This window comes from Homo sapiens, chromosome 15 (genome assembly GCF_000001405.40).
Source record: "Homo sapiens chromosome 15, GRCh38.p14 Primary Assembly".
Lineage (NCBI taxonomy): Eukaryota > Metazoa > Chordata > Mammalia > Primates > Hominidae > Homo > Homo sapiens.
Genome location: NC_000015.10, coordinates 92,969,144 through 92,982,254, shown reverse-complemented (window position 1 = coordinate 92,982,254; position 13,111 = coordinate 92,969,144). Strand labels below are relative to the sequence as shown.

At 38.9% G+C, this 13,111-nt stretch overlaps 1 protein-coding gene across 1 annotated transcript in view, besides 1 other annotated feature; it reads right to left on the bottom strand.

Moving 5' to 3' along the window:
• The window catches only part of CHD2 (chromodomain helicase DNA binding protein 2), a 127,673-nt gene that overhangs the window by 45,742 nt on the left and 68,820 nt on the right, over positions 1 to 13,111 (bottom strand). The window contains exons 18-24 of the mRNA NM_001271.4: positions 10,328 to 10,490; positions 9,838 to 9,990; positions 7,305 to 7,376; positions 3,872 to 4,021; positions 2,972 to 3,120; positions 1,344 to 1,440; positions 798 to 890 (exon numbers count right to left, since the gene is read on the bottom strand). Coding sequence (NP_001262.3) covers positions 798 to 890; positions 1,344 to 1,440; positions 2,972 to 3,120; positions 3,872 to 4,021; positions 7,305 to 7,376; positions 9,838 to 9,990; positions 10,328 to 10,490 — 877 coding nt within the window. The remainder of the gene's footprint in view (positions 1 to 797; positions 891 to 1,343; positions 1,441 to 2,971; positions 3,121 to 3,871; positions 4,022 to 7,304; positions 7,377 to 9,837; positions 9,991 to 10,327; positions 10,491 to 13,111) is intronic.
• Positions 309 to 1,508: an enhancer, noted in NCBI's record as "P300/CBP strongly-dependent group 1 enhancer chr15:93523977-93525176 (GRCh37/hg19 assembly coordinates)". NCBI's record gives its function as "activates an origin of replication core promoter dependent on BRD2, BRD4, P300/CBP, MED14 and CDK7 cofactors, with strong dependence on P300/CBP, by STARR-seq in HCT116 cells {active_cell/tissue: HCT116}" and the evidence as "EXISTENCE:reporter gene assay evidence [ECO:0000049][PMID:35650434]".

Sequence of the window (13,111 nt, the reverse complement as noted above, 5' to 3'; positions counted from 1 at the left end):
CCTCCTCTTCCCTAAAGTGTACTTGTCCTTTTTCTTTCCAAGGCCAAGTCTTCCATCTGTGCTTTTGACTGTATCCCTTCCAGTCTCCTCTGGGGCAATGTGCCATCAAATCATTTCCTTCCTGAGAACCTTCAATATCTCCCTATACTCAAGTTCTTTCCTCAAACTAGAAACATGGTAACATCTTTCAAAAACCTTGTCTTGCTTCAACCTTCTAGCCATATAATTTAGCATCCCTGTACTCTTTCACTAAGCTTTTTAATAACATTGATACTCTGTGCTGCCACCTCCTATTCGTCTGGTGCCCAACTTTTGTGTTTAGTCCTCATTTCATGTAATTTTCTGTTATATGAGACACCACTGACACCTCTTTCTCTCACTTACCAAACAAAAAACAAACTAAAATCTCACCAAGTCATCAGAACCTTCTAATTGTCATCTACTCTTTTCCTATCTTTGACCTCTCTTTGGCATCTGATCTATTGACGTGTCCCACAGTGCTCCACACGTCCTGGTTCTACACTCTGTCCTGGCTCTCTACCTAGCCCTCTCTTCAGTGATTTCTTTTCCGCCACACACTGACTCTACATAGGATAGCCCACTTCAGTGATTACCTTCGTGCGGACTGTAGAACCTACATTCACAACATACTCACAATTCAGAGAACAATATTGAGGATATGACTCAATTCAGGTAAAGAGAAAAGCAGAGCGCCTAGCACAAAGAAAGCGTTCATAAACATTAGTCATCATTAATGAATCAATGCTGAGAACTCTCTCCCACAAAGATCTTCATACCTTAAACTGTGATAGAAGTTCATCTGTTGCACTTGTTGACACTTCATTCTCTCTCGTTTCAGCCAACCGCAAAATTTCATCTATATCCATTTCCTAAAAGAACAAAAGCCAACACGAATAGAATAAAATGGCAACAGATGAGTTGCCTAGTTGCCCAGAAATTATTCGTATTTACTAAAAATGTTTGGTGCAAATAAACCAATTCTCCTTTCTGATATTTCATTTACTTTCAGTTTCAACTCTACATCTTTTACATCTAATGTCTCAAACTATAATTTATACAAATGACAAGGTGAAACTTCAAAAATTAAAACGAACAGAAATGGGAGAAAAAAACAACCCAAAAAAGTATACTCGAATGCTTTATTAATTCCTTCCTACTCAATTTGGTAAGAGCTATGAGATTCCTACGAAAGAAAAACACACTGTCCTTCAAGTAATTACTTTTTCTTTACAAAAGCCTCTAACAGAATCTTCTTACAGAAAAGTTAGACTCTCACAGATCATACTTCTCAAAAAAATTTCCCTCTCCTCATTGTTAATTACCTGAGGTTCTGATTCCTCCCCTTCCAGTTCTTTGAAGAGATCCTCTGCTCCAAATTTCAAAATAGCTGTCAGCTCTTCTTTATTAAAAGGATTTGAGCTGTGGAAGTAAAATGTAGTTGTTAGAAACATCAAATAACCTCTAAAGTGTTCTACTTCAGAATAACTATCCTTCAGAAAGAGGTCAAGTTAACTGCTGAAAATATAAACTCTGCCTCAAGAAAAATGATTTCTCAAACATCGCATTTTCTATCTACAGGATGAGTCTGTGATGGTAACCCTAAACCAGCAGAATAGAAAATTAGTTACAGTCCTACTGGTTCACCTATTGCATGGGTAAGCCAGAAAGGTGACTAGCAATGTTATAGAATGGAGCTCTTTCCTTTGGCCTTTTACTCAGAAAGTTATAATTCACCAAGAATTTTCAACCTTCTCAACCCCGGTCCAAAATAAAAGAGCTAGGCTTTTCTCATCTAGCTTCCTCTTAAACAGAAAACTATCTGAAAACATTTTATTTAGGAAGGGCTAATTTGAATACACCTTTAACATAGCTGCAGCGGGCACAATGGCTCACACCTATAATCCCAGCACTTTGAGGGGCTGAGGTGGGCCTATCACTTGAGGTCAGGAGTTTGAGACCAGTCTGGCCAACATGGAAAAACCCTGTCTCTACTAAAAAAAAAAAAAAAAAAGAAAAAAAAAATTAGCTAGGTGTGGTGGTGCACACCTGTAGTCCCAGCTACTCGGGAGGCTGAGGCACAAGAATCACTTCAACCTAGGAGACAGAGGTTGCAATGAGCCAAGATCGTGCCAGCGCACTCCAACCTGGGCGACCGAGCGAGACTCCATCTCAAAAACAAACAAACAAACAAACAAAAAACATAGCTGAAACACCACCACAGAAGACACTCAACAATCTGCTCAAAATGTAAACTTATTTTTATTATTATTTTGATATCATTATTATCTTGATAATATTGATATTATTATTTTGATATTATTATTATTATTATCGGTCGCCCAGGCTGGACTGCAGTGGCACAATCTCGGCTCACTGTAAGCTCCACTTCCCGGGTTCACGCCATTCTCCTGCCTCAGCCTCCCAAGTAGCTGAGACTACAGGCGCCTGCCACCATGCCTGGCTAATTAAACTTTATAGGAGATGTAGCTGTGCCTCTTCCCAAAGCCAATTAAAACTTCATTACTTTCTTTTTACACCCTTCTGGAAGCACAACAATCTCCACACAAACATTTTTGCCAATAGTAAAAAAAAAAAACAGCTGCCAATCCAATCTGGATTCTCACTGCAGAAAAGTCAAAGGTGACATTATGCTAGGCTGACACCCAACACACAACTCCACTGCTGTTGCTGTGTCATATGTCACATGAGCAGCCAAAAGCAAAGGTAAGGGAGAGGGCAAGAAAGAGAGGAAAACACATAAGAAGGGGGGTGATGGGCAAAAAAAGGAACCAAGAAACTCAAAGTGAAAATGCTATCCTATTTGTGGTTCTGGCCTGGCATCTTCCAGGTAATGAACAGACTAATGTCTGTGGTAGAAAATCCTATTATATCCAACAGTGATGTAGAATCAATTTGATTCTGCCTACCTCCCAATCTTCCTGGCACTTACTTGGACCTTCCTGAGTTGTTTTCCAGGATCGTCCGGCCAGTGGTGTCCATGCGCTGAATCACCAGATGATCTAATACCATCTTCTTTTTGGCCCGTTCTATGATCTCCTCCTCCACAGTCCCCTTTGTAACTAAGCGGTAAATATTTACCTGTAGGAAAAGGAACTGTTATGCTTATGCCTGAACCACCCCCCAACCCCCCCAAAAAAAGAGAGAAGGATTAGCTCTGTCAAAACCCAAGAGGGGAAAATTTTAACAGAATTTATTCTCTAACCATAGAAGACTGTAAGCCATCCAAGCAGGCAGCTTAAGTAGATGCAATACTTTTACTATGTGCAGCAGGTTACAGTCTTAAATAAAATTGCCTCTAAAGATCTGTCGTTATGGCCTGTTCCATCAATAAAAATCGTGCTTCAGTGATGGAAAGTTCCACAAAAACAGAATCTTTGGCCAAGAATGAAACTTACGGGTTATCCAATATAGAACAGACTTTAAGATTCATAAACAAAAAAGTGTGTGGTTTTCCAAAGTACCTTTAAAGCTAACACTGTCATGTATAATAAAAACAAACCATCTTGAACAATAGGATATTTAACTTTTCCATACTAAAATAGAGAAAATGTTCAGTTCTAAGTCTATTCATCATATATCTCTCTCAAGATAAACACATAGAAGGTCGCTGATGTTGTACTTTTCAAACAGAGAAAAAGAAAAGTTCCTTAATAGGTTCATCTTGGGCCCAAAGACAACATCTCTGTGCTAGTTAACAAACAGAAATCAATGCTTCAGGGGAAATAAAAGCAAAACAGGGAAAAAGCATTTTATTAACATCCTGAAAGGGCTGAACAAGCCCCCTGGCCCCCAACCCTAAAGCAATTTCCAGAAGCCTCTCCATACTGACCTGCTTCTTTTGACCAATTCTATGCGCTCGGGCTTGTGCCTGCAAGTCATTCTGGGGGTTCCAGTCAGAGTCAAAGATGACGACTGTGTCCGCTGAAGCCAAATTGATTCCCAGGCCACCAGCCCTTGTCGAGAGCAGGAAACAGAAGTCCTGTACACAATGCAATATACTACTTTATGCAGTGGCCTTCTCAGAAACAGTTTCACAGTCCAATAAGCCCTTACACCTGGAAACCCCTGCAGGTGTGAAGAAAAGTGAGATATGATGGACAAACTTTATGGAGGCTAAAAGAATGTCAGGGACTTGATGGTAGAATGAATTTTCATTTGATTAAGAGGCAAAGTCAGTGCCATGAACAGGAGTAGAGTAGACTCTAATAAGGCAATGGGAGTGAGAGAATTAGTGCTACCTCCCGGCTACAACTAATATACAAGAAGTTAACAGCAACAATAATAAAAACAGACAAACAATTATCATGGAGATCATTAACTCCAGGAAGTCACCTGTATAATTATTTTTAGGGAAAAGGTAGATTATGCCATGTAAGTCAGTTAGTATAAACAGAGATACTTTATTATATAAATATTTATGTTTGTTAGGCTGGCGAGAAATATAGAAACACTGCACTAAAGAGATCATATATGGTAAGTGTTGAGAACCACAGGATCCTCAATTACCACAAAACATGCCAAAATTATAAAAAAATCAAAACAGGTTTGGCTGGAGAGCGATGTGTGGAACCACCCAGGCACTGACACTGCAGTATCCACAGCAATGACAGTAGACACTGGGCAAGCACAGCACACCTGCCTGCGTCTGAGTGCTCAGAAAAATATGGGGGCAGGAGAAAAAGAATAAAATATATAAGCCGGGGGGAAAAGGTGAAATATTTCTATTTTCAGGGAATTTAATCATATATGTCAAAAGCTGATGCCTTTGTAGCAGAGAGAAGCAGCATTGAAAAACTGGTAGTCCTGAGTTCCATCTTGATAAATGGGTATATTTAGCATACACATAGAGATGCAATGAAAAGGTCTCCATGTTCTAATAGTCACATTCAACAACATTATGCCATAGAAATAAAAATGGAGACAGCTGCTTCACAAGAATTTTAATTAAACAATTCCAATAAAGAAGTGATCAACAGGAGTGTCCAGGCACATAATCTGTGATTCTTAAGAGAAATATTAAGCACCACCACACTCCAAAGAGAAGTCTAAAGATAAACAGTGGACAATTTAAGATGAGATATCTAAAACAAATGAAATCTGGAGTCAAAAAGATCCTATCAACCAACAATCTGCTATATCACTCTTTAGCAAGGATAACGTGGATTATAATATGTCGTCTGCATCTATGATCAAGTTGAAAAAGGTTAAAAAATTATAAAACTCAATGCCACTAACGGTAAGGTAGTTAAATAAATAAATGGTACAAGCATAAGAAAAATTTAGAAATTTAAAAAAAAAATTTTTTTTTTTTTTTGAGACAGGGTCTCATTCTGTCACCCAGGCTGGAGTGCAGTGGGGCAATCCTGGCTCACTGCAGCCTCAAACTCCTGGTCTCAAGGGATCCTCCTGCCTGTCTCCTGAACAGCTGGAACTACAAGCACACAATACTATGCACGGCTCATTTTTTAATTTTTTGTAGAGATAGGGTCTTGCTATGGGCCTAGAAATTAAATTTTGTAAAATCTTTAATAACATGGGGAAACTTTTTTTTTTTTTTTTGGTAGAGACAGGTCTCACTATGTTGACCAGGCTGGTCTCAAACTCCTGGTCTCAAGTGATCCTCCCCCATCTTGGCCTCCCAAAGTGCTAAGATTACAGGTGTGAGCCACTATGCGCGCCTAGCCTCAAAGTATAATTTTGAAGGGAACAAAACTGTATGCAACATGATCCGAATTAGGTAAACATATAAATGGTTCCATCTAGTAGGAATGGAAATACACCCCAAAGACGTGAACAGCAAGTTGTGTCTAGAATGAGGGGTACAATTGTTTTTTTCTTTGTATTCTTTACCATCTTCCCAATATTCTAAGTAAGCATATAATATTTTGTCCCACAATAAATATTTAGTTTTTTAAAGGAATTTTTAAAATACTGCAGAAATGGTAGAGAACTTGTGTTCTATATAGCCATCATAGTGAGTGGGAATCAACTGAGAGCTATGCAAAAAGCAATTTTTTTTTTCCCCTGAGACAGGGCAATATGAAACATTCGACTCATACTATTTTTTAAACTAAGAGTGGAGAACACAAAACCAATTTCAACCAACACTACATGATAAAAATAGCAGATATTTAGAGCGCTTACTATGCACTGGGCAATGTGATCAGTGCTTTATGTTGATTACCAAATTTAATCCTCAGAGCAATATTATGAAGTGGGGTATCAGAATCATTGTGATTTTACAGCTGAGGAAACAAGGAGCAAGGAAAGGAGGAATGGGAATTAGTTGATGACCGATGTCTTTAATTATTCCATTCCTCTTATCCTTAATGAACGAGAGCCTTGGCTCTGAATAGATTAATGCCCCAAGCCCCTCAAGAAGTAAATGTTTAGACTACAGAAGTAGCCAGAATACTAGTCTAACTAGGATTTCTACACTCTAAAGGCAGACAGCAGAGCATTCTGTAGTAACAGGCACAGGCATCAAGAGTTTTTAAAGCTCTTCAGAAAGCTAAGTCTGTTCTATCTGTTTAAAAAAAAAAAAAAGTAGTGGCTCAGGCTCCAGAAATTAGCATTCTCTGTGAAACACTTCTACTTCAGGTTGTCTCCACTGCTTCCTTTAGCTCTACACATTATTACAGTTTTATTCACACCAAAACTTTTCTCTCCCACTTCTCTCAAATCCCATGGCATCTGATGATTTGATATGCACAAACTACAATGTTGTCATACCTTCTATTTCATCCTAAGTAGCTCTTCTATATGTGCCCCCCAAACAAAATACTTCATAATGCCAAATCCAAGCTCGACACTGATTGTAAAATGTTGCTGTTAGCGAGAGCAAGAACATTAAGCCACACTGTATCAGAAGTCCAACAAATTTGAGACATGGCAAATATATTTTTCAGGACTTAGTCACCAAAAGAGTACAGAGATCAGAACCTTCTTATATTAATTCTATTGCCCAACTCTCCCCTACTCCTGCCTTACTGCTCTTCCACGCCCAAGGATTTGGTATCTGGAAGCTACCAGGAGAACCACTCTGTTGTCAACCCAGAACAGGGGAGATAAATAAGCACATATTTATTTTTCTGGAGTGACAACAAAACACCATCTTTTATATGAGAGATTTCTCATTTTCTTCTCAAGGCAAAAGAATTGCACTATAAATTGTTTCTGAAACAGAATACATTAAGCGAGAGAGACTTTCCCCTTGATGCAGAGCCCAAGTTGCTCAAATAACAAAGCCATGCATAGTATACCTCAGACCCATCTGCATTGAAGTGGTCCAGTGCCTGTTTTCGGATTTCTCCCTTGATGGAACCATCCAGACGCTGTAAAAATAAACCACAAGAAAACTGTAAGATAGGAAGATCAGCTACACTCAGAATAGAACAGCAGACTTGGAACCTTTATCACCTGAACACCCACTGAGTAAAAATAACTGCAAAGCACTGGCAAAGCGCTATGAAGAAGCTGTGCTTAAGAAGCACACCCTACCCTACTCGACCTGAGCTCTCCAGTTACAGACTCAAGGTTACAAGCTTCTGATTCAAAGGGCTGTCCAGGTTTAGCCAAGGATCAGAATGGCTGCCAGGACCTAAAAGGAGAAAGACGAAAACCCAACCTGTGCTTGGAGGCTGGGTTTACTTCTGTTTCTGTAGGTACTGCAGAGATTAGGAAATAGGACCACGGGTCACCCAATAATAAGCTCCTGCAGAAAAATGATGCTTCTTAGCTAATGTGGCTAAAACTATCACTTAAAGTGTCACACAAACCAAAAATTTATTTATATAATAATTTTGTTTGAAAAACATTTTGCTGAATCATTGAAAATGTTAAAATTGATCATATATCCCAGCTTTGCCAAAAATTACACTCTGAAATCATAGTAAAGTGTTCAAGCAGCTAAACTACATGAGAATTCAAGAAAGCCCCTGGCATTTATTAGCATACACAATTCCTTTATTAGAACATATGTCAGTTCTACATGCAATACAATGTCACCATAGAGAAACCATTGACACATAAAATACTAAAGAATTATCACCTGCATGCTGTACATTTTATAAAGCATTTCTTACTCTTTAAAATCATTTTTGCATTTCATCCCCTCACAATCACCACTTGAGATGAACAAAATACTTCATTTTACAGAAGGCAAAACTAACCTGAAAGGTGACTTGGCTGGCAGCAGACTCTGTGGAAGGGCCTACATACCCAGAACTCTGCCCACCAGACCTAACTCAAGTCAACTGACAGGTGAGGAGTCCCTTACTTCTTTCTCACTGACTACTCTACTCAGAGCCTTAAACCGAAGACGTATTCAATGGGAGATTCAGAGCCTTTACTTGAAATCAGAAAACCTAATGCCGCCTTTTAATATTCCCATTAGTAGAGGGCATTAATTATCTAAAAGTCACTGACCAAGCTTATCTATTCCCTAGAGAGAAAAACGATGCATTCTTGATTTACTTGGTATCACGGGATTTCCTAGGAATGAAAGCTCATAGGGATTCGATTCACTGACAGAGAAGTGACTTTTTGCAATAGGCTGTTTCTTGATAACAAGCACAGCCTTAAGCTATATTCTAAGACAGCAACTGAAAGACCATATAAGATATTATGGATATAACAATGCCTTTCAGGGTATTTTGAAAGATAATCAATCTGATAGTCTCAAAGGTGGGCCTTCTTAGGAGATAATCATTGGTCCAAGTTTCTTCAATCCCAACATAATTATGTGAGTTGGTAGAAGAGTTCATCCATTCAAAGTTTTAAAAAAAATGTAATAAATCTTAAAAATCAAAGCACTATAAACATGCCAAGAGACAAGGTAAATTGCGTATATGTCTATGTGTCTATAAATAGATCAGAGAATAAGTTTCTACTAGATTATATACACCTAGAAAAATGTTACTATGCGGAAGAAATTTTCCCCATAGGAGATAACTGTGTGAAGACAGTAACTCCAGTTAAGGAACTCCACAGAAAATAGGGGAAGCCATCATCACTTACTTCAGGGAGTAGCAAGGTTTTAAGTAGCAGTGTTCTGCTATGTTCCCAGCCTCACAGCCAGGGTCAACTTTTGGGGGGAATGTCTGATACTGCCCTCTCCTTCTAGGATTTGGGCTCCTGGAATTGAGCTCACACTTACTTCCTCTCTACTTTCACCATACACATGCAATAAGATGCCATCTGACATCCTTTTTTTATCTTGCCCCGTTTGACTTTCTCTAATCCTCCCCACCCACCTTCAAAAAAAGAATCGTCTCCTCATGACCACTTTCATATGGTAGCCTAAAGGCATGCAAGTAAAAATTAAGACCCTCCTGGAATCTTTTTTTTTTTTTTTTTTTTTTGAGACGGAGTCTCGCTCTGTCGCCCAGGCTGGAGTGCAGTGGCGGGATCTCGGCTCACTGCAAGCTCCGCCTCCCGGGTTCACGCCATTCTCCTGCCTCAGCCTCCCAAGTAGCTGGGACTACAGGCGCCCGCCACTACGCCCGGCTAATTTTTTGTATTTTTAGTAGAGACGGGGTTTCACCGTTTTAGCCGGGATGGTCTTGATCTCCTGACCTCGTGATCCGCCCGCCTCGGCCTCCCAAAGTGCTGGGATTACAGGCGTGAGCCACCGCGCCCGGCCCCCTGGAATCTTAACCTTAACTTCTTTGAAACAAGAAAACTCTTACTTCCTACTTTAACAAGCAAAGCATACAACCCAGTGTAGGAAGGTTGGGGAGGGGAGGCGGAGAGAGAGATTGATTCCCCCCACAGCAATTACTGAAATCACCTTACCTGGAAAGGATAGTGTTTAATAGTTAGGTATTCAGCCAGGATATCCAACATTCTCACCATCTGAGAGAAGATAAGCACTCGATTCCCCCTTTCTCGAAGTCTTGTCAACAGTTTGTCTAATAAAATCAACTTCCCACTGCTCCTTATGAGGGACTGAAGATTTAAAAGACATTCCAATAATTATGTTGAAACACAAATTTTAATCTTCCCTAATCTCTACAAATCCATATTTTAAAAATCATCTTAAAGCTTTCTGAAGCCCTTAGCAACCTGCTTGACCAGCAATTCCCGAAATGTTCTTTTTCCCAGTATCTGTTGATACTATACTTTACTTTCCAAATCATTCTTAGTTACCTTTTCTCTCCCATTTTTAAAGCTTCCTTTGATGATCCTTGATAGGTCACCAACAAGGAAATAGAGCATTCTGATGAAAAGCACCTAGAGAAACTAAGCGTTTTTTTTGAGAAAGTAATTATGAGGAACTACCTACCAGAAGAATCTCCTGTCCATTTTCCCTTTCATTTTCTTCAGGGGGTTTAATCAGATAGCAGTGGTTGCAACATTTTTTCAGTTCCATCACAATATTAAGAAAACCAGATGTGCTGCCTCTTGTTCCTTTGGCAAGAGCCTTGTAATTCCTGGTCAGAATCCACCTGCAAATTAAAATGATAATGATACTACTAGATACAAAAAAACAGAAAGTTGTAGGTACCAGAAGAGTATAAGAGATAGTAGTAGTATTGTGGAGAAAAAAAGAGGCCTAAAAAAGTTTAAGAAGCAAAGAATATTTTCTTTTGTATCTCCTGCCATCTAATCATACATCTTTCACATCTCCAGTCAGAATTAGGAATGTTAAAGATTCTGCTGGATATTTCAACCTCACTGAACACAGGAATACTAGAAGAAAACAACTCTCTCTACATATACACAACACACACATATGCTTTACATATATACACACACACACATACATACATACATTTTACATATTTACACACATGTACTTTATACATATTTAAGTGTGTGTGTGTACACAAAGGCTGAGAATCCTAAATGTGAAAATCTAAAATGTTCCAAAATGGCACTCAAAACTTTCTGAGTGCCAGTATGACGCTCAAAGGAAATTCTCATTAGAGCATTTTACAGTTCTGATTTCCAGATTTGGAATGCTTAACTAGTAAGTATAAAGCAAATATCCCAAAATCTGAAATACTTCTGGTCCCCAAGCATTTTTGATAAGAGACTCAACCTGTGTGTGCATGTGTGAATGGAAAATGACTGTCACTGAAACACTCTTCACTGAAATATAAAAATTGGAAATAAGCTAACATTATGAGGTTAAATAAATGTAAATATACCATAAAATAGAGGCTACATACCCATTTTAACATTGTAAAAGAGTATTTTATCTGACAAAATAACTTATCAGTATGTTTTCTACCCAAATTTGGAGGAGAAATACAGATATATTCATGTATACCCATGTATATTCCTTAACCACAAACTCCAAAATAGTAAAAGTACATTTTTTCCTGAGTGGCGCAATTTCTTCATGCTTCTCTTAGAAATCACACTTTAGGAATCTATCTCAAGGTCTTCACTCCAGAACTATTTATAAAAGTAGGTAAAACAATCTAAGTGCCTACCACAAGGAAACTGGTTGAATAAACCATACTATATAACCTCAATGGAACACTATGCATCATAAAGGCCTATCTCTATAAGCTACTATGGGGTGCTCTTCAGCCATGTATCATTAAGGAAAAAAGGAAGGCAGAGAAAAGTGTATACGGTATGCTACCACTTACCTAAGAGAAAGGAGGATATTCAAAGTTAAAATGCATTTGCTTTTATTTAATAATTAAAAGTTAAAGGAAGGATAAGCATTAAAATGTTAAAAAATAATAATAATTATGGGCCAGGTGCGGTGGCTCACACCTGTTAATCCCAGCACTTTGGGAGGCCGAAGGGGGCAGATCACCTGAGGTTGGGAGTTCGAGACCAGCCTGACCAACATGATGAAACTCCATCTCTACTAAAACTACAAAATTAGCTGGGCGTACTGGTGCATGCCTGTAATCCCAGCTAGTCGGGAGGCTGAGGCAGGAGAATCACTTGAACCTGGGAGGCGGAGGTTGAGGTGAGCTGAGATCACACAATCACACTCCAGCCTGGGCAACAAGAGCGAAACTCCATCTCAAAAAATAATAATAATAATTACCTATGGGGAAAGATGGACTAGAATGGAGGGAAGAGGGACTGAAGCTACATTTCTTTGAACATACCAGGCTTTGTAGCTTTGCCTTTGGAAATCTACAAATACTATAATTTAAAAACAAAATTAAAGCAATCCCTAAAAATCAAAACTAAAATGAAATAAATAAATCTATGTAACCATTAGTTGCCTAAAGACACAGAAGAAAAACTATCTTGAGTACTTTAAAACTCTTTTCCACTTCTTGTGGTATATAACCTTAAAAAGCAAAAAAAAAAGTAAAAACAAAACCTGTAAAAAGAAAATCCTGTTGCAGTAAGCTGAGATCGTGCCACTACACTCCAGCCTGGGTAACAGAGTGAGACTCCGTCTCAAAAAAAAAAAAAAAAAGAAAATCTTAACCTGTTTTTACTATTCTTATTGTTGGTGGTAGTATTAGCTTTGTTGTATGTATAGAATGAATTAGCTTGGTGTGGTTGGGAAGTGAGATTTTTAGTATGGCATAAGATCAGTAAGATCAAATAAAATCTCTGTGGTACTGTTCATCATGTATTTTTACCATTAAAAACAAATTTCCCAATTCTGTCCATGTTTGTTGCAGTTGCAAAGAGCACCCCTAGGGCCCAGTATGTGGTCTCCAAATACCATTTCCTCATCTTTGCCATAGTCCATAAACCATCAGAAAGAGGCCAGTCTTCTGAGGATCCTTCAGACTCAACAGCCTCGGACTCGAGGGTACTGCAGAACACGACAGCCTATGAAGTCACACCCAGAAGTGAGGTTTGGTGGGGATGGGTGCTGCTCTACAGTGGGAAGAGCAGAAGGGCCTATGCCTGAGGACAGGGATTGCGGGGAACGCTGGTGGCCCTGAAGTAACTCTGCTCACTTTCTTTGGCTCTCTAGTGCTTTCCCCAATCCTGCATGTTGTGCAGCCTGAAGGCAACAGAATATTAGCCAGGACTCTTAAATTGCAAGTGATAAAAACTCAACTAAATCAACTTAAGTAAACTGGAAGTATCTAGAGTTGCCAGAAAAATCATATGATCAATCAACACCCAA